We start from the raw sequence: 25,216 nt of genomic DNA on the forward strand, positions 1-25,216 counted from the left end.
CTTTTCCAAAAGACTGAACTTAGCCAGAATTACGACAGGTAAAACTTCTCACTTCATGAGTTTAATGAAATGACTCGATCTCCCCACAGACGTTTCCAAAATCTGGAGAGCGGCTGTGAGTTTGCAGTGCAGTATGGGGAGAGGTAAGAACAATGCCTTTGGAATTTGGAATCCTTGTACCCCGGTGAAATAGTCCTGCTCACCTCCCTGCATTTCACTTTCTCTCCATGGCAACGTTTGATGTGGGGCAGTCACCCAGTTTTATTATTTAGTCTGCATGCACACACACACTCACACACTCACCCTTAGGCAGAGGACTAGAAGAACCCATCGCCACTTTTACCCTTCATTTCCCAAGTCCTGAGGCATCACTGTCTCATTTCCACCCTCAGGGTTTAATCTCAGAGTGTGAGAACGAGGCAGGCCTCTGCTGGGGTGGCCAGGATGTCCCTGACCCCACCAGCAGGGAAGAGTCAACACACTGAGGACAGCCCCTGCTCCTTCTCATTTGGTTGAGGTTGTCAGAGCATGCATGTGGCAACACCATCCATGGTTCCGTGACGTCTCCCTGAAGATGCCATCTGTGGGCTCAAAAGCTGGATCGATGGGAAGCCAGCCCCGGGCTGTGCATCTGTCACAAACCGTGTCTTCATCTTCCCAGGCCAAGTTCAGTTCATTCTTATTTTCACACATCCAACTGGGCGCTACCAGTTAGAGGCCTCACTGGGGCTTCAGGGAGTGGGTTCGTGTTGCTATTGGCAGCAGTTCAGTCCTTTGCTGATCAACAACATCCACCTTGGGATGCCATGCACCTACTTCTTTACCTGTAGTTACTTTGAATGTTGGTTCCAACACACCATTTGCAGGAACAGAGCCGCCAGGAACTGGTGGTGTGAGATCCCAGGGTCTCCTGTGTTACTTGTCAACTAAGCAGTAGCAGCTGCAGCTGATGGAAATACATGCCCATAGGCATTCGACCAACTGGTTAAACTCTTGACTCTGCCACCTTAGAAGTTTTGTGGCTCGACACCAATTACTACTGGGAACAAGTTTCCACTCCATTCCCACGCCACAGTCAGACAGGGTTGAGGGGGATAATAGGTCTTCGCCCTGCAGCCCAAGCAACCCGTTTGCACGGCTGGCTGCCCGCCACCTGGTGGTAGATGGAGGTAAAGCAGCCTCCTGAGGAGAACTGCCCGGGTTTGGAGCAAGAGGGACTTTCTAAGTGATTCAATCTTGTGCTGTCATTTTCACTGGAGGAAATTCAGGCTTAGAGATGATGGCAGGCTTGTCTGAGCTCTCAGAGTGGTAGAGTACGGTGGTTAAGAGCAAGCATTCTGGCGTCTTAGTGTCTGAATCCTGGCTTGGCAGTCAGGAACTAGTGTAACCTTGGAGGAGTTTCATAACTTCTCAGTAATCACTTTCCTTATCTATGAAATGAGGGAAATCATGCTCCTTACCTCAAGGGTTTTTAAACAGATTAAATTAGGTGGTGATGTGGAAGTGCTTAGTCCTGTGCCTGACCCTGGTAAGGGACACATCTCTAGATGACTCTGTCTTCACTCTGGAGCTATTTAACTGTATTTGTAATGCCCCCTACAATGGGTGACACTCCTTACATTCCCCATTTAGATCTGAAAGTAGGAGTGAGGACTCCAAAGACCACTGAAGAAAGCGTGAAAGATATTTTGCTTTTGAATGGAACATTAGACTTTGGTTACTGAGTGAAGGAAGAGTGCAAATGACATTTTGGTGCCAACATGGCTCAAATTCATTGTCATAGATTGAATGTGTTGGGTATTCTAAAAATGTTTGTTAGATGAAGGAAGGGGAAGGGGCGTGAGCAGAGGTCAGAAGTGGCCCCTGTCTCAGGAGAGAGGAGCTGGAAAAAGAGAAAGTCTCATTTTACACTATCCACAATAGCTCAGAAGACCAGCTGGGAACCCTTGCAGTAGAAATCTCCCTGGCTGCCTCTGTTTTTGTAACAATGACATTAGAAAGACCAGGTACTCCTGTAGATGCTGTATTCTTTAAGTAAGTGTGGACACCTTTATCCTGTTTGAGACTGGACTGGCAGTTCTGTTGAAAATAGGACAGGTGAGCCTTGCCAGGAGCTAAGGAGACAAGGAGAGAGAAAAAGAAACAAATACCTCGACTTTCTCCCCCTTCTCTTTAATTTACTAATGGTGTGTGTCCTATGGTCATGATCTAAGTCAGAGCTAGGGAGTAAGGAGCCCAACTGATGCAGCTTATGGATGCCTTCCTCCCAGGGCACAGAGCAGGGTGGAACTGGATCTTAGAACATAGAGGAACATGCACAGCCAACGGCTTATGCATATGCACCCAAAAATATTTGGGTGATTTATATTCAACTCTGCTTCTCTCAATTTGAAGAGGTTGCTCATTTATAATACTGTATTTCTAATGGTATTACCAAAAAAAGTGTGATGTTTTTTGTTGTTGTTGTTTTTTCTCCTCTCCTCTCCTCTCCTCTCCTCTCCTCTCCTCTCCTCTCCCAACCCCGGTCTCTGCTCTTCTTTGCCTTTTAAAGTGGTTCTCACACAATATCCAATATGAATGGGGTTAATAGAAATGTAGATGGAAGTAAAGAGACAAACACAACTTTCTAGAACATTCCCCTTCCTATGCCATTGCCCAACCCCAGCATGTTCTCGGGCCTGCTGATGACGCTGGTGCCTATGGTGAGTTGGGGAGAAAAAGGGAGAAACAGGGTAAAATGGGAGAGTGATGGAGAGAGAAGATGGCTTCATGGTGTCTGGAACTGCATTTGGCATCATGGGTATGATGCCTTCACTCCATTTCTTCCTGGCTGTAGATCCATTTAATCAATAATACTTATTAAGCATATAATTTGTGCCAAACACCATGTCAAGCACTGATGAATAATGCACAGCCCTGCCCACAGGGATCTTACAGTCTATATTCTCTAGGTGCTTATGATGCACTGCAGTTGGTGTCAACCACACAGTGAGATAAAGTCAGCACAGAGGCACTCCCAGGCACAGAGAGAGGCGGAAGAGTCAGGGAAGGCCTCCCAGGTTACTGACTCTTAGCAACAGAGTTAGAGGCCAAGAAATTAACAAGTGAAAGGAGAGGAAGGTAGGGAGGATGCACTTGGCAGAAAGAGATCTTGGCAAAGGGATAAAAATCATGATGTGTTTGGGGCTCATTCTGGATGACTGAGGCAAGGAAATGTGTAGGCAGCTGCCAGAGGAGGTTTGGAGAGGTAGGCAGGTCTCAGAGCAGGGAGGACATGAGGGCTTAAGAGAAGGAGTTCAATTTTATTCCGAAGGCCATGGAATGGTGTCAAGAGTTTCCATAAGAGACTAACTAGGCCAACACCATTTCTAGAGCAATCGTAGTGGCAATAGTATGGAGGCTGAAGGGAGCGGAGAAATGGAAGAAGGTTCTTTCAGTAAACTGGGCAGTCAATGACAAAATCCCGACGTGAGCTAGCAGCAGGAAGAGATGAAGCGGGGTGTCACAGTCTATAAAGAGAGGCCAACGATAGGTGGCAACCTCGAACATCAGCCTCAGGTTCTGCCTCACGTTGTGGGCTTTTCCGACTGCACTACTTGGTGAATTTTGCTATCTGTTTCAGTTAAATTCAACGTGCAGAGGGGAGAAAACTCTTTCTGGATGAATATCTATTCTTTTCAGAACAGAGAGCCTCTATTGTCTACTTTCTAAACAAATTTCTACTGGATATCAAAGAAGCCTTTCAGAGCTTGTTCTGGGACATGCTAAGTCCCATGAAACCTCACTGGAATGAAATGAAATGAAATGTAGAAGCAGCACCAAGAGGGGCTGGTGCAGCAGGCTCAGATCTAGGGTACGACATGTTCCCTACATATGCCCTAGCTATGCCCTAGGTATACCATACATATGCTTTACATAAACCCTACATATACCCTACATATGCCCTACATATACCCTACATATGCCCTAGGTATACCATACATAGGCTGTACATAAACCCTACATATACCCCACATATGTCCTAGATAAGTCCTAGGTATGCCCTATGTATGCCCTACATATACCCTACGTATGCCCTAGATATATCCTAGGTATGCCTTACATACGACCCAGTATGCCCTATGTATGCCCTAGATATACCCTACATATGCCCTAGGTATACCCTAGATATACCACACATATGCTCTACATAAACCCTATATATGCCTTAGGTATGCCCTAGGTATGTCCTAGGTATGTCCTACATATGAACTAGTATGCCCTAGATATATGTATGCCCTAGATATACCCTATATATTCTCTACATACACCCTATGTACGCCCTATGTATGCCCTAGATATACCCTATATATTCTCTACATACACCCTCCATATGCCCTACATATACCCTACATCTGCCCTAGATATACCCTATATACACCCTAAATATATCTTAGATAAACCTTATATATGCCCTACATATGCCATTGATATACCCTAGATATGCTCTACATATGCCCAGATGCTTTTGAGTGTGGGCACCAATGTAGATCATCTCCTTAACTGTAGGAGAAGGGACCCCAGCTCCATTTTGTTTTTACTGCCTCCCATCTTTAACTAGACGACTTTCTTTTTGGGTTCTTCCTGTGAGTTGATGTGGAAAGCTAAGATGAACGCATGTTGCACAAACCGACTCCACAAGCTCACCTGGTTTATCACTGACTGGCTGGGTGTCAAACTCTTGGCTTATGCCCTGGAGATTGGATGCTGCCTCCATTTATAGAAAAGAACGGTTTGGGGATGAGGGCTGAGGCTACTGGTCATTTTCTTTGGGAGCTTCTTCCCAAATATGATGAGATGTCTCAGGTGGACAGTTTTGGAGCTACCTACAGCCTGTACACAGGAGGGCTTGCCACATCTGTAAATTTTGAATCTGAGTTAAGATTGGCTGACCTCTGAATCAGAAAGGTTTGTTTTGGAAGTACTGACTCAATTTCTGTTCCAGTTATAAATAGCAAGATTAAAGCTATAGCTGAGGATTCTGGCAGTACATGTTTTTAAAAACCTAAGTGACAATGAAATAGCTTAATGAACTAGTAAATTTCTTTGCAGGAAGTGTAAGGCTTGTAAAATCATTGAAGAAAAGCTTTAAGATACCATATAAATACAGTATGCATTGCTAAAGTGTGTTTAATTATGCCAGTAGATTGTTATTTTAAAGCAATTCCAAAGACAGTTGTATAGGTTAATCATAATAAAGGCAATTACAATACTGATGCTTTTGAAATAAGAAGGGTTATGTTTTTTAAGAGTGTAATTATGTTTCTGAATGAGTCTATGTAGAGAAAGGCAAAGGAACATAAGGGCCTCTGCTTGAAGCCTTCAGCTGCTGAGTTAGAATTTGCAAGTCAAAACTTATTTGCATCTAATTCTCAGAACACACAAAAAAAGTCACGAAAGCTTACTTTAAGGAGAAATTCTAAAGATTATTAGAAATTTTTTTAGAGTAAACCGGGAGGAAGGAAAACAAAGCAGGAAAACCAAGTGAGACTTGCAATTTTGTCTACCACATGTAAATGTGCAGATGGTTGACATATCTAAAGCAATCCTGGCAAAGGTCTTGCATGCATCATCCCAGTAAGCACATTTATAACAGGCAGCCCATGTACCCAGCTCCACGCAGGATGCAAAACATGTATTAGACGTGGCTCATTCCAGACCTGGTCCCTGGCTTCAAGCTAATTCACCATGTAGTTGGCAATATAAGACACATGACAAGTGGACACACAAGCGCAGGCATACAATTAACGCCGCAGAGCAGCCTTGCCTGCGATCTGAATGCATCCCTTTCCTCTTTTGGAACTGAAACCACACAATGAGGCATTTCAGTCACAACAAATGGGTGACAGAGGCATAATAGGCCTGGCTTTAAAGTTATCTTAAAACAGCTTCTGTATTTCGGCTTCGTCTTTCATAAAGGCAGAATCAGAACACTTCCCACTACATGTCTTCTCTTTGCTTTCTCTAAGTGGGGACAATGATGCTGGCTGAAATTAGAAGGGTTTGGAGACAATGAATCTCTGGTCAAGCAAGGTCACAAATAAGGGTGGCTACGATTGAGGAAAGAGAGGTTATCAGTTTTGGCTAAACCCAAAATAGCAGCGGTCTCATGTGAAAGAAGACTGAAGGCAGGCAGTCTATGCCCATGCTTCAAGGACCAAAGCTGCTTCTCTCCTGCTGCTCCACCAACCCTCACCATGAGGCTTCCACCTCATTGCTTTAAGATGGTTGCATGGGCTCCAGCCATTATGTGTGGATTTTAGCCAGCAGGAAAGAGGGTGGAGAGAAGAAGGGCATGCCCCTCCCTTTAAGGTTGCTTCTTAAAAGTCTCACACAGTTCCACCTGCATCCCATCAGCCAGAAATTAGTTGTATGGCCCCACCTAGTTGCAAGGGAGGCTAGAAAATGTGGCCTTTATTCTGGGCAGCCACACGCCCAGCTACACACCAGGGGCTGTGTTGTGAAGCAACAAGGGGAGAACAGATACTGGGGGTCTCTGTCATAAGGAATTAGCCAAAGGTACGAATGCATGAAGGAGCCTGGGCACTGTTCTTTGAATTGGCACAATTTCTCTGCTTGTCTAGAAAAGGAAGTTACACCTGTGTTAGCAGAGGGCAAAGACCTGCAATGCTCACCTGGCACCAACCAGTACAGGAAACCAGCTCCCCCATGGCACCAACCAGCCTCCTGTCTGGCTCAATAGGTTTGCATTTATGTCTTTATTAAGGAAGAGCCAAATTTCATGTCTAGTCTCACTTTTTCTTCCACGGATCACTTATAAATCTAATTCTCAGGGATGTCATTCCAGACCAGAACCCACCGGAAGCCTCCAGGTGCTGCAGTGAGGAGGAGCTGGAACCCTTCTCCTCCAGGTGCCAGCTCGCGCTGCTGTGGTTCTCATCTGTAGAGGACGTGGACCATCCAGGGAATCACCTGCAGCTGACAGAGGAAACTCTGAAGCCCACCAGGCCTGTACAGACTGGGGAAACACCAGTGCCTGAGGATAGTGGCTAAACTGCCAGAGAACATGGGGCTGAGGTGGAGCCTGGATGACTCTTCTGCCTCTGAGCAAAGCTGCTTGCCCTACACACAACAGTATTGTCTTAACATCTGCTGAGTTCCCAGGTCCTCTTAGCAGCAGGCAGAGGCATTCAGAGCCCAGACCCCAAAGACATGCTGATCTGGTTTAAACCTGACTGTGCTACTCATCAACTGGGGGACCTAGGCAGGTTACATTGTCTTTTTGTGCCTCAGTTTCCTCATCTATAGAATAGAGGTATTCTAGTTTCCTGTGATTTCTGTAATAAATTTACAAACTTTGTAACAAATTACCACAAATTTGGTGGCTTCAAACGATAGAAATTTATTCTCTCACAAACCTGGAGACCAAAAGTCTAAAGTCTCTATCATTGGACTGAAATAAAAGTGCAGGTGGGGCCAGACACAGTGGCTCACACTTGTAATCCCAGCACTTCGGGAGGCCAAGGCGGGCGGATCATGAGGTTAGGAGTTTGAGACAAGCCTGGCCAATATGGTGAAACCCCGTCTCTACTAAAAATACAAAATTAGCCAGGCGTGGTGGTGCATGCCTGTAATCCCAGCTACTTGGGAGGCTGAGGCAGGTGTATCTCTTGAAACCAGGAGGCGGAGGTTGCGGTGAGCCAAAATCATGCCATTGCACTCCAGCCTGGGCAACAAGAGCGAAACTCCGTCTCAAAAAAAAAACAAAAAAAAAAGTGCTGATGGGGCAGCGCTCCCTCCAGAGTCACTAAGGGGAGAATCCTTGCCTTGCCTGGCCCAGCTCCTGGCTGAGCCAGCATTCCTTGGCTTAGGCTGCAGCCCTCCAGTCTCTGCCTCCACGGTCACATGGCATTCTCCTCTTCTGTGCATTCGTAATGCCCCACATTTCTCTTATAAGGATCCTCTTGATGGCATTTAGGGCCCACCTGGATAACTCAGGGTGACACCCCCACCTCAAGATTTTTAACTTAATCACACCTGCAAAGATCCTTTTTCCATATAAGGTCACATTTGACACGTTCTAGGAATTTGGATCTGATCTTTTTGGAGACAGTTACTTAAGTCTACTTCAACTGTTAATAATAGTGCCAACTTCAAAGGGTTGTGGGGAGGCTCAAATGAGCCAAGGTACATAAAAAGCTTTGAATTGAGTCAGGCCTATTGAAATCACTGTGGAAGTGTTGGATTTTATTATCTCCTTTTATTTATTTATTTATTTATTTATTTATTTTTTGAGATGGAGTAATGCTCTGTTGCCCAGGCTGGAGTGCAGTGATGTGATCTCAGCTCACCACAACCTCTGCCTCCTGGGTTCAAGTGATTCTCCTGCCTTAGCCTCCTGAGTAGCTGGGATTACAGGTGCCCACCACCATGCCTGGCTAATTTTTGTATTTTTAGTAGAGACAAGGTTTACACCATGTTGGCCAGGCTGGTCTCAAACTCCTGACCTCAGGTGATCTGCCCACCTCGGCCTCCCAAAGTGCTGGGATTACAGGTGTGAGCCACCATGTCTAGCCTTATTATCTCCTTTAAAAGGTAAATGGTACAGAAAGGATAGAGCCAGGGAACTCAGGTCTGCAGATGGCTGGTGCAGAGACCTTTCTGCTAATTCTCTAGTCTCGCTACAAAACCTACTTCTGCACTCCAGCTTCCCACTGAAAAGATCTCGGAATCAACATGACTGTCAACGCCTGCAAATCAGCACTCCCAAAATGCTCAGGCATCCTTTCAAAATGCCTGCCCTTTGGCTGTGCTTTCATTCCATCTCCATTCTCCCTCTCCACACTTTCGCCTCGGTCTGCATTGATATTTTTTCTTCCCCACAAAGAAAACTAGATCTAGTCATAGCCAATAGAGACAGTATTGTGAGAAAGTAGTTACAGGACCTGAAAGATGTATATGTTTTCTTAAACTTTGGAAAAGCAGGGGGGTGATAGAAGGAGAGTGTATATGTGTGCTGTATATAACTATATATGTACTGATAAATATAATTTTCTGTATTATCAGAATAGGCTAGATTAAATAGGCTAGATTACTTACCCAAGGTCATACAATTTCAAATTGACCTCCAAATTTCAATGACTCATTACAGTAGTTTTTTCTTATTCATGCCCCTGCCAATGCGGGTTGGAGGTAGAGAAGTCCTCTGCTCCATATGGTCACTCAGGAGTCCAGGCTGATGGAGCACTGCTGGTCACTGTGGCAGAGAGACAATGTGCTTTGTCCAAAAGCACACAGTACATTGTCACTGTGCTCACAGCACATTGTCCTTGCCTTACTGCAAGGGGGCTAGGAAGTTGGGGAGGGCACGTGGCTGTTTGGTGAGCCAGAAATATCTCTGGTACAGTGACAGAGAATTTAAATGTATTCCTTTTCTGTCCTAGAATAGCTTCACAGGAGAAAAAGGGTCTGAGCCATAGGAATTTAGAGCTGCAGAAACATGAATGAAGTGCTTCCATTCATATTTATGTCCATTCATTAAGTATAAAGGATATTATCAGACTTGCATTGCCTTTTATGTTTCTACCATAAGTACTTCCACCTGTATTCTGACAGATTTTTAAAAATCAAGAAGATAGCTTTTCTCCTTAATTTTTCCTGAAACAACAGGCAGACTTTATCCTAATTAGGAGGAGTAATATGTGAAAGCTAAAGTTTCCCCCTTTGCCACCCTCTGGGGGTGGGTGTAGAGATCATCCGCACTTGCTCACTAGTGTGTCACTCCCACCCTCCCCTGCTCTCCTCAGCCTGCGCCTCCCTCCCCACGGCTGCCCATTAGTGTGTATTCAGGCCTGACTGAAATCTGATAACTGGGTTTGCAATTCATTTTTTGAATGGGAGGTACAAAAAGCACTAAACCTGAAACTTAGAAGCAAAAGAGACTTAAGTATGTATGCCACCTCGAACCACTTGAAATCATGTCCCCAGATCCTCTTTTCCCTCCAATTTGCAGAGTTTCAGTTAAAGCATTGCTCCTCTGAGCACTGAGGACTTGGTAAAAGGACTCTCAGAGGCAGTGGAGAGAGGTCTGCTCTGCATCTAATTTGGGCCAAAGGAGTAAAGTGTCTGTGACCCTGACAGTGGGGATGGGTGTGGAGTTATTTCCCAGGACACCTGATTCCATATAAACCCCAATCATACCTTCAGCTGAATAAATGATAGCACAACCCTCATGTGGGGCCCTGCAAGATGTTTTGATGTTTGGGCTAGAAATTGCTGAATTTAGAATGGCAGGTTTCCAGATCTGTGATTCTAAAAGAGAGAAGAGTCAAGAAAAAAAAAAAGGGAGCTTCTCAGAAATAAAATTCCAAGCAGAGAAATATGAATGGGTCTATTGTTGGGGAAAGGGCACCTTTGGAAGCCGACATGAATCCTGCTGGTTCTGCCCTGCGGTCTCTCTTTCTTGGATCAGGCCTGCTTCCTCCTGGTGTCCTGCAGGCCTGGAGTAAGGTCCTGTTCCCGTCCTCATCAGACCTACACCCACTATGCTTTTGGTTTCTCTCTCCTCCAAATCCCTGGCTGAGGTGGACAGTCCTGAGGCTCAATTTTTTTCCTGCCACTCCTGCAAATCTGCATCCAACCCCTTGGGCATAAGGTGTTTTATTGGCAATTCACTGAGAAAGACAGAAGAGGGTCAGACATATGCAATGATGAAGAAATCCCAGAGGCGGCCAACATCTCAGAGCCTCAGAGCAGCCATTTCCACAGGTGACACCAAGGTCAGCTGCCCCCTGTTCCTGCCCCCTCCTTCCTTGTCCCCTTTGCTCCACCACAGCCTCCCCCTGCTCCAGACACCTGGTGGCTCTCCTCGGGGTAGGAGTGGCTGTCCAGGTGTGGAAGGCAGGAGTGAAAGCACAGGTGCCATCGGAGTGTCCCAGATGATGATTCACATCTCAGGGAACTTCGGATGAGAGGTTTAACTTCAATGAGAGATTTTCTCCCCAAAGGAAAGTCACCTTCAGATGCTTCCTCATAGGACCTTAAAGGATAGATACACCTTACAGAGGGCCCATCAGGGAGCTCACATTTTAAAGGTGGGAGGAGAGTGGCAGAACAGAACAGCACAATAAAAAGGCCATGGGACCTTCAGCTTAAGTGCTACTTGCCAACTCAGATGCCCAGAGCAGGCCAGGCAACAAGACAGAGCTGCCCCAGGTCCATATGGCATCTCTGGGTCATTGATGCAATGGGGCCCTTCTGCTGAGACAGGCATCTCCGTGTTGGGGCCACTGCTCGGCAAGCAGAGCCTGGGCACCTTCCAGGCCCTGGTACCATGGCAAGGAGCCTCGCGTGTGACACACCTGCTCTCTGTGTGCAGTGCCCGGGTATGGCAGCAAGGAGGACTGTGGAGTTCACTTTCACAAGGGCTGTCACTCAGCCACATGCCCTATGGGCCTGACGTTGTCAGATCTTTCCAGTTTGCAAGAGACACTAAGGTCCAGACTGTAATAGGAACTCTCCTGATTTATAAACATAGGCAACTGTTTCAAATATTTTAAACATCACGTGGGCCCAATGAAACAATGAGTGGCTTCTGAAGCAGAAGGTCAGGGAGTCCAGGCACCAAGTGTGCTCAGGCTTGAGGTAAAGCCCTTAAGTTGACAGCGGTGGGGTTCCAGAGTGTGAGGCAGAGAAGAAAGGCAAGCGAAGAAGCTCTAGGCCTTTCACTCGGGGTGGACCATGAGGGAAACGAACTGTGGGAATGCTCTGCTTTTTCTTGTTTCTGTGCCTTCTATTATGAGGAAGGCTGGAGGCTGGGCCTGGTGGCACATGCCTGTCATCTCAGCACTTTGGGAGACTGAGATGGGAGGATTGCTTGAGCCCAGGAGTTCAAGATAAGCCTGAGCAACATAGCAAGACCCCATATACAAAATATGTAGGCATGGTGGCACGCATCTGTAGTACTAGCTACTCAGAAGGCCGAGGTGGGAGGATCGCCTGAATCCAGGAGTTTGAGGCTACAGTGAGCTGAGATCACATCATTGCACACCAGCCTGGGAGACAGAGCAAGACTCCATCTCTGAAAAATAAAAATAAAAAGGAGGAGGGCTGGAGAGGGTGGAACAGGCTAAGAGTGAAAGGAAAGTTCACGTTGAAGTAGCACTCAGCTTCTGCAACAGTCCAGACTTCTGGCCTAGCAAGGCCATCCTAAGAGCTGACACATTAGTGTAGACAAAATGGCAGACACCATTTTAGGCATTTCAACTGATTTAATCCCATCAACATCCCTATTCAACAGGTCTTGCTATAATCCTCACTTTACAGATTAGTACATTGAGGCACAGAGAGGTTAAATCACTTGCCCAAGGTCACACAGCTAGCAAATGGCAGAGCTGGGATTTGCACCCAGGCAGCCTGGCTCCAGAGCTCATGTTCTTAGCCACTACCTCCGCTCAGCATGAGAAACACGGCAGACAATGCTCAGCTTCAGGGGCCATCTTTGAGAATCCTGGGGAAACAGAGGGAAGCAGAAGACTGCAGAGAGACATGATGTGTCCTGATTTTTTATTTTAAAAAGCTTTAAATAAAGTATATTCATACAAAAATACAGACAATCATACAATGACATACCTGCGTACCCACCACCCAGCTTAAGACGTAAACATTTCAGTTATTTGTTGCCTGTGGCCCTTCTACACCCATTTCCGTTGCTCCCTCCTCACCTCCCTGCCTGTTTGTACAATTTTGCCACATCTGTGTATATTCATAAATGGCATATCAAATAGTTGGGCAAGTTTTAAAACTTTATATAAATGGTACTACACACACACACACACACACACACACACACACACACACACATTTTTTGAGACAGGGTCTCAGTCTATCACCCAGCAGACTGGAGTGCAGTGGTACGCTCACAGCTCACTCCAGCCTCAACCTCCAGGCCTCAAGTGATCCTCCCACCTCAGCCTCCCCAGCTCTGGGACAACAAGCACGCACCACCACACCTGGCTAATTTTAATATTTTTTGTACCTAGTTTCACCTTGTTGCACAGGCTAGTCTCAAACTCCTGGGTTCAAGCAATCCACCCACCCACCTGAACCTCTTGAGTAGCTGGGACCACAGGCTCACACCACCACATCCAGCTAATTTTTAATGTTGTTGTTGAGACGGGAGTCTCATTATGTTGCCCAGGCTGTTCTCAAACTTCTGGGCTCAAGTGATCCTCCCACCTCGACCTCTCAAACTGCTGGGATTACAGGTGTGAGCCACCATGCTCAGCTGTACTATATTTTATGCAACTCATTTAATCCCTTCAGCAACATATGTAACTCATTTATGCCTTCAAAAACATATGTTTTTTGAACCCTGTGGTTTTGAGATTGATCTATGTGACACATGAATTTTACATTCATTTATTTTTGTGCACTTTTTTATTGGAGCATAATATCCATTAATAAAATTCACAAATCTTAAAGGTGCAGCTTAAGGAATTTTTCAAAGTTGTTACACCCGTGGAAACATTATTTGTTTAAAAAAATTAAGCAGCCGGTTACCAGGACTTAGAAGCTTTCCTTGCACCCCCTTTCATGTTCATTCATTTAAATTGCTAAGTAGTATTCCATTGTATAAACATATTATTTCTTAATCCATTTTTTAATTGATAAACATGTAAGTTGTTTGCACTGTTTCTCTTAATAAACAACGCTGTTGGAACATTTGAGCTTATCGCAGGTGTGTACCTGGGCGTTGTCTCGCTGAGGGGTGGGGTCTGCAGCTTCACTTGCTGTTGTTCGCCAGAAAGTCCCAATTCTCACTCCACTGCAGTGTGTAAGGGTTCCCTTCCTCCACATCCTCACAGCGCTCAGAACTGCCAGACTTATAGAGTTCCTAACATAAAGGGTGTGAAATTGTTGCTCACCATGATTTTAATTCATGCTTCCCTGATTACAAATGAAGTTGAGCATGTTTTTGTATTTTTATGGGCTGTTCAGTTTTCGTCTTCTGTGAATTGCTTATTCACGTCCTTTGCCAGTTTTTCTATTGGGTTGTTTCTCTTTTTCCTCTTGATTTACAGGGGTTCTCTATATAATCTGGGTATTATTCTCATGTCAGTTATAGATCAAGGTGTGGTGCTTTACTTCAGTTCTCCAAAGAGGGAAGAGGATGAGTTTTATGAGCTATAGGCCATTGAGTTTGTAATAAATTTCTAGCAAAATTCTAGAACAGATTATTAAGTGGATGATTTGTGAGCACTGAGAATGGAAAGTCGTGATCATTGGGAGAGACCCAAATGACAAACAGGTCATTCCGGACTCTCAGCCTTGCCTTGGTAGGATTTCAACTTCCAACCACCGCCATCTGGGTGACACTCTTAAATTATGAGCCACAAAGTGCTTTACATACATCATCTCACAGCAGCCTCTGAGCCTGCTGTCATCCTCATCTTTATTTTACAGACAAGAAGAGTAAGGCTCTAAGTTACCCAGCAGCACAGGGAATGAGGAAGCAGCCTGGCCTGGTAGACCAGGGAGTGCTGATGTATCTGTGCTGCAATTTCAGCAAGGCCTTGAACCTTGGTGTTGTCAACATGTGGAGAATTGTGGACTGAATCATAGACATTAGATGGGTACAGTTACTGTGTTCTGTGAGTGTTGGTCTTACAAGAGTTTTCTAGAGACCTGCACCTGGGCTCTGTTCTGATCTAGTCAGTAAACTCACCAATGTCTTCTTAGAAAGCAGAGACAAGGCTGGGCGCAGTGGTTCATGCCTGTAATCCCAGCACTTTGGGAGGCCAGGGCAGGAGGATTGCTTTAGCCCAGGAGTTTGAGACCAGGCTGGGCAGCATAGCAAGAACCTGTCTGTACAAAAAAAAAAAAAGTAGGGTGTGGTGGCACACGCCCGTGGTCCCAACTACTTGGGACATTGAGTTGGGATGATCCCTTGAGCCCAGGAGGTTGAGACAGCAGTGAGCCACGATTGTGCCACTGTACTCCAACCTGACTGACAGAGTGAGGCCCTATGTCAAAAGCAAAAGGGGAGTTGGGGATAAAACACAGGATAGCTGAAAGAAGCAACTAGTGTGTGTGTATGCCACTATCATGAGGAGAAATAGATGGGGGGAGTAAATACAGCACCTTCAATGAAACACCCAGGTGCATGCATTTGAATTCGTCACGAAAACAACTCAACCCATAGAAAACTGAGAAAAGCAAGGCAAGATGACAGCATAGCCAGGAACAACATGGAGCCAGGGGAGCCTCCCCTGCCTAGGGAAGTGGTGAGTGAATGAGCAACCCCAGGGACCCACCTTTGCCCACGGATCTTTGCAACCCTAAGGTCAGAAGATCCCCTTGTGAACCCACTCCACCAGGGCCTACAGTCTGACATGTGGAGCTATGTGGAGTCTTGGGAGAGCAGCTGCCTAGGCACATGTGGAGCCCCAGGAGCTTTAGATATCTGGGCTTCCTGGCAACAGTGACTGCAACCCCAGTAAAATGGGAGGTTAGAACCTGGTACATACCCCTAAGAAAGGGGCTGAATCTAGAGGACTGAGCAGCGATGGTCTGCAGACCCTTCTTCCATTGCACCTTGCAGGATAAGACCCACTAGTTTGGAACTCCAGCCAGCATGGGTAACAACATTACATCTCCCTGGGATGGAGCTCCCAGGGAGAGAGGTGGCAGCCATCTTAGCTGTTTAGCAGCCTTAGCTGTTTTTGCCTTCGGGCTTTGGAGAGTCTGAGGCAACTGGGGCTGGTGCAGGCCCCCAGCACAGCACAGCTGTTCTACAAAAATGTGGTCAGACTGCTTTTTTACACAGGTCTCCATGAAATTTCATGAAAATTAAACAACTGGCTCCTGAATGACTTTTGGGTAAATAATGAAATGAAATTAAGGCAGAAATCAAGAAGTTCTTTGGAATTAAGGAGAACAAAGATACAACATACCAGATTCTCTGGGACACAGCTAAGACAGTGTTAAGAGGGAAATCTATAGTATTAAATAGCCACATCAAAAAGTTAAAAAGATCTCAAATTAACAACCTAATATCACAACTAAAAGAACTAGAGAATCAAGAGCAAACCAACCCCAAAGCTAGCAGAAGACAAGAAATAACCACAATCAAAGCTGAACCAAAGGAGATCAAGGCACAAGCAACCATTAAAAGATTAACAAACCCGAGCTGTTTTTTTGAAAAAGTTAATAAGATAGGCCACTAGCTAGATTAATAAAGAAGAAAAGAGAGAAGATCCAAATGAATACATTGAGAAATGACAAAGGGGATGTTACCACTGACCCCACAGAAATACAAACAATGATCAGACTGTGACAAACACCTCTATGTACACAAACTAGAAAACCTAGAAGAGATGGATAAATTTCTGGACACAGAGACATTCCCAAGACTGAACCAGGAAGGAATTGATTCACTGTACAGACCAATAATGAGCCTGAAATTGAATCAGTAATAAACAGCCTACTAACTGAAAAAAGCCCAAAACCAAATGGATTCACAGACAAATTCTACCAGATGTACAAAGATGAGCTGGCAGCATTCCTACTGAAACTATTCCAAAAAATCGAGGAGGAGAGGCTCCTCCCCCAACTCATTCTATGAGGCCAGCATTATCCTGATACCAAAAGCTGGCAGAGACAAAACAAATAAAGAAAACTTCAGACCTTAATGAACATCGATGTACATATCCTTGATGAACGTAGATGTAAAAATCTTCAACAAAATACTTGCCAACTGAATCCAGCAGCACATTAAAAACCTAATCCACCGCAATCAAGTAGGCTTTATCCCTGGGATGCAAGGTTGGTTCAACTTATACAAATCAATAAATGTGATTCATCACATAAACACAACTAAAGACAAAAACCACATGATTATCTCAATAAATGCAGAAAAGACTTTTGATAAAATTCAACATTCCTTTGTGTTAAAAACTCTCAATAAACTATGTATTGAAGGAACATACCTCAAAATAATAAAAGCCATCTATGACAAACCCACAGTCAACATCATACTAAATAAGCAAAAGCTGGAAGCATTCCCCTTGAAAACCTGCACAAGACAAGGATGCCCTCTCTCACTGCTCCTATTCAACATAGTATTGGAAGCCCTGGCCGCAGCAATCAGGCAAGAGAAAGAAATAAAGGGCATTCAAACAGGGAGAAAGTCAAACTATCCCTCTTTGCAGTGACATGATCCTGTATCTAGAAAACCCCATTGTTTCAGCCCAAAAGCTTTTTTTTAAAAAAAATTTTCCATAGGTTATTGGGGTACAGGTGGTGTTTGGTTACATGAGTAAGTTCTTTAGTGGTGATTTGTGAGATTTTGGTGCACCCATCACCCAAGCTGTATACACTGCACCATATTTATAGTCTTTTATCCCTTGCCCTCCTCGCGACCTTCCCCACAAAGCCCCAAAGTCCATTGTATCATTCTTATGCCTTTGCATCCTCATAGTTTAGCTCCCACATGTCAGTGAGAACATATGGTGTTTGGTTTTCCATTCCTGAGTTGCTTCACTTAGAATAATAGTCTCCAGTCTCATCCAGGTCACTGCAAATGCTGTTAATCCATTCCTTTTTATGGCTAAGTAGTATTCCATCGTGTGTGTGTGTGTGTGTGTGTGTATCACAGTTTATCCACTCGTTGATTGATGGGCATTTGGGTTGGTTCCACGATTTTACAATTGCAAACTGTGCTGCTATAAACATGAATGAAGTATATTTTTGTGTAATGACTTCTTTTCCTCTGGGTAGATACCCAGTAGTGGGATTGCTGGATCAAATGGTAGTTCTACTTTTAGTTTTTTAAGGAATCTCCACACTGTTTTCCATAGTGGCTGTACTAGTTAACACCAACATCTACTGTTTTCTGATTTTTTTATTATGGCCATTCTTGCAGTGGTAAGGTGATATCGCATTGTGGTTTTTGACTTGCATTTCCCTGATCATTAGTAATGTTGAGCATTTTTTCATATGTTTGTTGGCCATTTGTGTATCTTCTTTTGAGAATTGTCTATTCATGTCCTCAGCCCACTTTTTGGTAGGATTGTTTGTTCTTTTCTTACTGATTTGTTTGAGTTCATTGTAGATTCTGGATATTAGCCTTTTGTCAGACGTATAGATTGTGAAGATTTTCTCCCACTCTGTCGGTTGTCTGTTTACTCTGCTGACTGTTTCTTTTGCTGCGCAAAAGCTCTTTAGTTTAATTAGGTCCCAGCTATTTATCTTTGCTTTTATTGCATTTGCTTTTGGGTTGTTGGTCATGAAATCCTTGTCTAAGCCAATGTCTAGAAGGGTTATTCCAATGTTCTAGAATTTTTATAGTTTCAGGTCTTAGATTTAAGTCGTTCATCCATCTTGAGTTCATTTTTGCATAAGGTGAGAGATGAGGATCCAGTTTCATTCTCCTACATATGGCTAGCCAATTATCCCAGTACCATTTGTTGAAAAGGGTGTCCTTCCCTCACTTCATGTTTTGTTTGCTTTGTCAAAGATCAGTTGGCTGTAAGTATTTGGTTTTATTTCTGGGTTCTCTATTCTGTTCCATTGGTCTATGTGCCTATTTTTATACCAGTACCATGCTGTTTTGGTGACGCCTTATAGTATACTTTGAAATCAGGTAATGTGATGCCTCCAGATGTGTTCTTTTTGCTTAGTCTTGCTTTGGCTATGTGGGCTCTTTGGTTGGTTCCATATGAATTTTAGAATTGTTTTGTCTAATTCTGTGAAGAATGATGGTGGTATTTTCATGGAGATTGCACTGAATTTGTAGATTGCTTTTGGCAGCATGGTCTTTTTCACAATATTGATTCTACCCATCCCTGAGCATGGGATGTGTTTCCATTTGTTTGTGTCATCTATGATTTCTTTCAGCAGTGTTTTGTAGTTTTCCTTATAGAGATCTTTTGCCTCCTTGGTTAGGTATATTCCTAAGTGTTTTCTTTTTTGGCAGCTATTATAAAAGGGGTTGAGTTCTTGATTTGATTCTCTGCTTGATTGTTGTTGGTGTATAGAAGAACTACTGATTTGTGTACATTAATCTTATATCCAGAAACTTTGCTCAATTCTTTTATCAGTTCTAGGAGCTTTCTGGAGGAGCCTTTAGAGTTTTTGAGGTAAACAATCATATCATCAGCAAATAGTGACAGTTTGACTTCTTCTTTACCAATTTGGATGCCCTTTATTTTTTTCTCTTGTCTGATTGCCCTGACGAGGACTTTCAGTACTATGTTGAAGAGGAGTGGTGAGAGTGAGCATCCTTGTCTTGTTCCAGTTCTGAGGGGGAATGTTTTCAACTTTTCCATTATGTTGGCTGTAGATTTGTCATAGATGGCTTTTATTACAGTAAGGTATGTCCTTGTATGCCAATTTTACTGAGAGTTTTAATCGTAAAGTGATGCTGGATTTTGTCTAATGCTTTTCCTGCATCTATTTAGATGATCATGTGATTTTTGTTTTTAATTCTGTTTAGTTGGTGTATCACATTTATTAGCTTGTGTATGTTAAACCATCCCTGCATCCCCAGTATGAAACCCACTTGATCATAGTGGATTATCTTTTTGTTATGTTTTGGATTCAATTAGCTAGTATTTTGTTAAGGATTTTAGCATCTATGTTCATCAGGGATATCAGTCTGTAGTTTTTTGGTTGTGTCCTTTCCTGGTTTTGGTATTAGGGTGATGCTGGCTTCATAGAATGACTTAAGGAGGGTTCCCTCTTTCTCCATCTTGTGGAATAGTATTAGTAGGATTAGTATCAATTCTTCTTTGAATGTCTGGTAGAATTCTGCTGTGAATCCGTCTGGTCCTGGACTTTTTTTGGTTGGTAATTTTTTAATTACTGTTTCAATCTTGTTGCTTGTTATTGGTCTTTTCAGGGTATCTAATTCTTCCTGATTTAAGCTAGGAGGATTGTATTTTTCCAGGAATTTATCCATCTCTTCTAGGTTTTCTAGTTTATGTGCATAAGGGTGTTCATAGAAGCCTTGAATAATCTTTTGTATTTCAGTGGTGTCAGTTGTAATATCTCCTGTTTTATTTCTTATTGAGGTTTTTTGGATTTTCTGTCTTCTTTTCTTGGTTAATCATGCTAATGGTCTATCAATTTTATTTATCTCTTCAAAAACCAGCTTTTGTTTCATTTATGTTTTTTAATTTTTTTTTTTTTTTTGGTGTTGTTGTTGTTTCTATTTCATTTAGTTCTGCTCTGATCCTGGTTATTTCCTTTCCTCAGCTGGGTTGGTTTGGGTTTGGTTTGTTCTTGTGTCTCTAGTTCCTTGAGGTGTGACCTCAGATTGCCAGTTTGTGTTCTTTCAGACTTTTTGATGTAGGTGTTTAGGGCCATGAACTTTCCTCTTAACACCACCTTTGCTGTTTCCCAGAGGTTTGGATAGGTTGTATCACCATTGTCATTCAGTTCAAAGAATTTTTAAATTTCTATCTTGATTTTGTTTTTGACCCAATGATTATTCCAGAGCAGGTTATTTAATTTCCAAGTATTTGCATGGTTTTGAGGGTTCCTTTTGGGGTTGATTTCCAGTTTTATTCCACTGTGGTCTGAGAGAGTGCTTGATATAATTTCAATTTTCTCAAATCTATTGAGGCTCATTTTGTGTCCTATCATATGGTTTATCTAGGAGAAAGTTCCATGCACTGTTGAATTGAAGGTGTATTCTGTGGTTGTTGGATGGGAGGTTCTATATGTATCTGTTAAGTCCATTTGTTCCTAGGTATAGTTTAAATTCATTATTTTTTTGTTGACTTTCTGTCTTGATGACCTGTCTAGTGCAGTCAGTGGAGTATTGAAGTCCTCCCATTATTATGTTGCTGTCTATCTCATTTCTTAGGTCTATTAGTAATTGATACATTTGGGAGCTCCAGTGTTAGCTGCATATATGTTTAGGATTGTGATATTTTCCTGCTGGACAAGGCCTTTTACCATTATATAATGTCCCTCTTTGTCTTTTTTAACTGCTGTTGCTTTCAAGTTTGTTTTGTCTGACATAAGAATGGCTACCCCTTCTTGCTTTTGGTGTCCATTTGCATGAAATGCCTTTTTCCACCTCTTTACTTTATCTGAGTCCTTACTTGTTAGGTGAGTCTCTTGAAGGCAGCAGATAGTTGGTTGGTGAAGTCTTATCCATTCCGCAATTCTATATCTTTTAAGTGGAGCATTTAGGCCATTTACATCAATGTTAGCATTGAGATGTGAGGTACCATTCCATTCATCATACTATTTGTTGCCTGTGTACCTTTTGCTTTTTAAATTGTATTTTGTTTTATAGGTCCTGTGAGATGTATGCTTTAAAGAGGTCCTGTTTTGATGTGTTTCCAAGATTTGTTTCAAGATTTAGAGCTCCTTTTAGCAGTTCTTGTAGTGGTGGCTTGGTAGTGTCAAATTCTCTCAGCATTTGTTTGTCTGAAAAAGACTGTATCTTTCCTTCCTATGTAATGCTTAGTTTTGCTGGATACAAAATTCTTGGCTGATAACTGTTTTGTTTGACGAGGCTGAAGATAGGGCCCCAATCTCTTTTAGCTTGTAGGATTTCTGCTGAGAAATCTGCTGTTAATCTGATAGGTTTTCCTTTATATGTTACCTGGTACTTTGGTCTCACAGCTCTTAAGCCTAGGCAATAATCTTTTTGCGATGAATTTCCCAGGTGTTCTTTGTGCTTCTTGTATTTGGATGTCTAGGTATCTAGCAAGGCCAGGGAAGTTTTACTCCATTTTTCCCCCAAAATATGTTTCTCAAACTTTTAGGTTTCTGTTCTTCCTCAGGAACACTGATTATTCTTAGGCTTGGTCATTTAACATAAACCCAGACTTCTTGGAGGCTTTGTTCATATTTTCTTATCCTCTTTTCTTTGTCTTTGTTGGATTGGGTTAATTCAAAGACCTTGTCTTCAAGCTCTGAATTTCTTTCTTCTACTTGTTCAATTCTATTGCTGAGACTTCCAGTACATTTTGCATTTCTACAAGTGTGTCCAATGTTTACTGAAGTTTTGATTGTTTTTTTTTATGCTATGTATTTGCTTCAATATTTCTCCCTTCACTTCTTGTATCATTTTTTTGATTTCCTTCCACTGGGCTTTGCCTCCCTGTTTAGCTTGATAACCTCTTGAATTCTTTTTCAGGTAAATCAGGGATTTCTTCTTGGTTTGGATACATTGCTGGTGAGCTAGTGTGATTTTTTTAGGGGTGTTAAAGAGCTTGTTTTGCCATATTGCCGAAGTTGGTTTTCTGGTTTCTTCTCATTTGGGTTGGCTCTGTCAGAGGGAAGGTCTAGGGCTGAAGGCTGTTGTTCAGCTTCTTTTGGGTTGGCTCTGTCAGAGGGAAGGTCTAGGGCTGAAGGCTGTTGTTCAGCTTCTTTTGTCCCATGGGGTGTTCTCTTGATGTGTAGTATTCTCCCCATTTTCCTATGGATGTGGCTTCCTGAGAGCTGAGCTGTAGTGATAGTTATTTCTCTTCTGAGTCTAGCTACCGAGCAAGTCTACGAGGCTCTGGGCTGGTACTGGCATTTGTCTGCACAGATTCCTGTGATGTGAACCATCTATGGGTCTCTCAGCCATGGATACCAGCACCTGTTCTGGTGGAGGTGGCAGGGGAGTGAAATGGACTCTGCGAGGGTTCTTAGCTTTGGTGGTTTAATACTTTATTTTTGTGCTGGTTGGCCTCCTGCTGGGAGATGGTGCTTTCCAGAGAGCATCTGCATGGTAGTGTGGTGAGGGCTCAGCAGTAGGCAGAGTCCTGGAACTCCCAAGAGTATATGCCCTTTGTCTTCAGCTACCAGGGCGGGACCATCAGGTGGGGGCAGGGCTAGGCAAGTCTGAGCTCAGTCTCTCCTTGGGCAGGTCTTGCTGCAGCAGCTGTAGGGGATGAGGGTGAGGTACCCAGGTCAATGGAGTTGTGAACTTAGGAGGATTATGGCTGCCTCTGCTGAGTCCTACAGGTTATCAGGGAAGTGGAAAAAGCCAGCAGTCACAGGCCTCACCCAGCTCCCACACAATCCAAAGGGCCAGTCTCACTTCCATCATGTCCCCACCAGCAGCACAAGTCTGTTTCCAGGCAGTGGGCAGTGGGCAGTGGGCAGTGGGCAAGCAGAACTGAGAACTTGCCTCAGGCTACACGCCTCCCGGCTGCAAAAGAAAAAGGCTTTATTTAGGTCCCCCCGCCCCCCATCCCCAGGTCTGCACACCAGATTCGTGCCCTCCCCCGAGTTCTGGCCAGGAGGCTTCTCAACAGGTTACAAAGTTCAGCTGGAGACTTCCTTCTCCCTGTGGCATTTTCCCTGCACTGCTGGCCATCCTCCCAAAGGATCCCTGTGGTGCCAGGCAGGAATGGCCTGCTTGGGACCCAGCGAGCTCCCAGGGCCTTTCCCACTGCTTCCTCCACCCCTGTATTTCACTCGGCTCTCTAAATTGACTCGGCTCCAGGTAAGGTCAGAATCTTCTCCTGCAAACTAGACCTTCAGTTTCCTGAGTGGGGGTGTGTGTTCGGGAAAGGAGGGTGTCTCTTTCCCACTTCCACAGTGTGGGCATTCGCAGTATTTAGAGTGTCTCCTGGGTCCTGCAGGAGCAGTCTGCTTCCTTCAGAGGATCTGTGGGTCCTCTCAAGATTCCTGGTTTATTCCTGCAGTTCTTCTGGAGCTAAAATTCACAATGTGAGCCTCCTCATGCTGCTCCGTCCATCCAAGTCAAAGCTGCAATCTAGTCCTCCCTCTCACTGCCATGATGATCCTGGATGTCCGAGCATTCCCCAAAGCTTCTTAAGCTGATAAACAACTTCAGCAAAGTTTCAGGATACAAAATCAATATGCAAAAATTACTAACATTCCTATACACAACAACAGTCAAGGCAAGAGCCAAATCAGGAACACTATCCCATTCACAATTGCCACAGAAAGAATAAAATACCCGGGAATACAGCTAACCAGGGAGGTGAAAGATCTCTACAATGAGAATTACAAAACACCACTCAGAGAAATCAGAGATGACACAAGCAAATGGAAAACATTCCATGCTCATGGACAGGGAGAATCAATATCATTAAAATGGCCATACTGCCCAAAGCAATTTACAGATTCAATGCTATTCCCATCAAACTATCAACAACATTCTTCACAGAACTAGAAAAAAACTATTTTAAAATTCATGTGAAACCAAAAAAGAGCCCAAATAGCCAAGGCAATCCCAAGCAAAGGGAACAAAGCTGGAGGCATCACGCTGCTTGTCTTCAAACTGTACTACATGGATGAGTAACCAAAACAGCATGGTACAGGTATAAAAGCAGACACATAGATCAGTGGGATAGAATATAGAGCCCAGAAATAAGGCCACATACCTACAAGTATCTGATCTTTGCAAAGCTTACAAAAACAAGCAATGGGGAAAGTACTCCTTATTCAATAAAAGGTGCTGGGATAACTGGCTAGACATATGCTGAAGATTTCTTACACCATATACAAAAATCAACTCAAGATGGATAAAAGGCTTAAATGTAAAACCCAAAACTTAAAAACCCTAGAAGACAACCTAGGCAATACCATTCTGCAAATAGGAATGGGCAAAGACTTCATGACGAAGAGGCCGAAAGCAATCGCAACAAAAGCAAAAATTGACAAATGGGCTCTAATTAAACTTAAGAGCTTCTATACAGCAAAAGGAATTATCAACAGAGTAAACAGACAACCTACAGAATGGGAGAAAATATTTGCAAACTATGTATCTGACAAAAGTCTAATATCCAGCATCTATAGGGAACTTAAACTTACAAGAAAAAAGCCATTAAAAAGTAGGCAAAAGAGGCTGGGCACAGTGGCTCATGCCTGTAATCCCAGCACTTTGGGAGGCCAGGTAAATCACTTAAGGCCAGTTCGAGACCAGCCTGGTCAACATGGTGAAACCCCATCTCTACTAAAAACACACACACACACACACACACACACACACACACAAACACACACAAAACAAAAATTAGCCAGGTGTGGAGGCACACACCTGTAATGCTAGCTACTTGGGAGGCTGAGGCATGAGAATCTCTTGAACCTGGGAGGTGAAGGTTGCAGTGAGCCAAGATCACACCACTGCACTCCAGCCTGGGCAACAGAGTGAGACTGTCAAAAAAAAAAAAAAAGAGAGAGAGAGAGAAAAAAAGTGGGCAAAGGACATGACACTTTTCAAAAGAAGACATACATG

At 43.7% G+C, this 25,216-nt stretch overlaps 2 annotated features.

Moving 5' to 3' along the window:
• Positions 1,033-1,092: an enhancer, noted in NCBI's record as "active region_22048". NCBI's record gives its function as "activates an Ori minimal core promoter by ATAC-STARR-seq in GM12878 lymphoblastoid cells {active_cell/tissue: GM12878}" and the evidence as "EXISTENCE:reporter gene assay evidence [ECO:0000049][PMID:35858748]".
• Positions 23,135-23,635: an enhancer, noted in NCBI's record as "H3K4me1 hESC enhancer chr4:154028483-154028983 (GRCh37/hg19 assembly coordinates)". NCBI's record gives its function as "activates a minimal SCP1, AML or CMV promoter by ChIP-STARR-seq in primed H9 embryonic stem cells {active_cell/tissue: H9 hESC(primed)}" and the evidence as "EXISTENCE:reporter gene assay evidence [ECO:0000049][PMID:30033119]".

This window comes from Homo sapiens, chromosome 4 (assembly GCF_000001405.40).
Source record: "Homo sapiens chromosome 4, GRCh38.p14 Primary Assembly".
NCBI classification, from domain to species: Eukaryota; Metazoa; Chordata; class Mammalia; order Primates; family Hominidae; genus Homo; species Homo sapiens.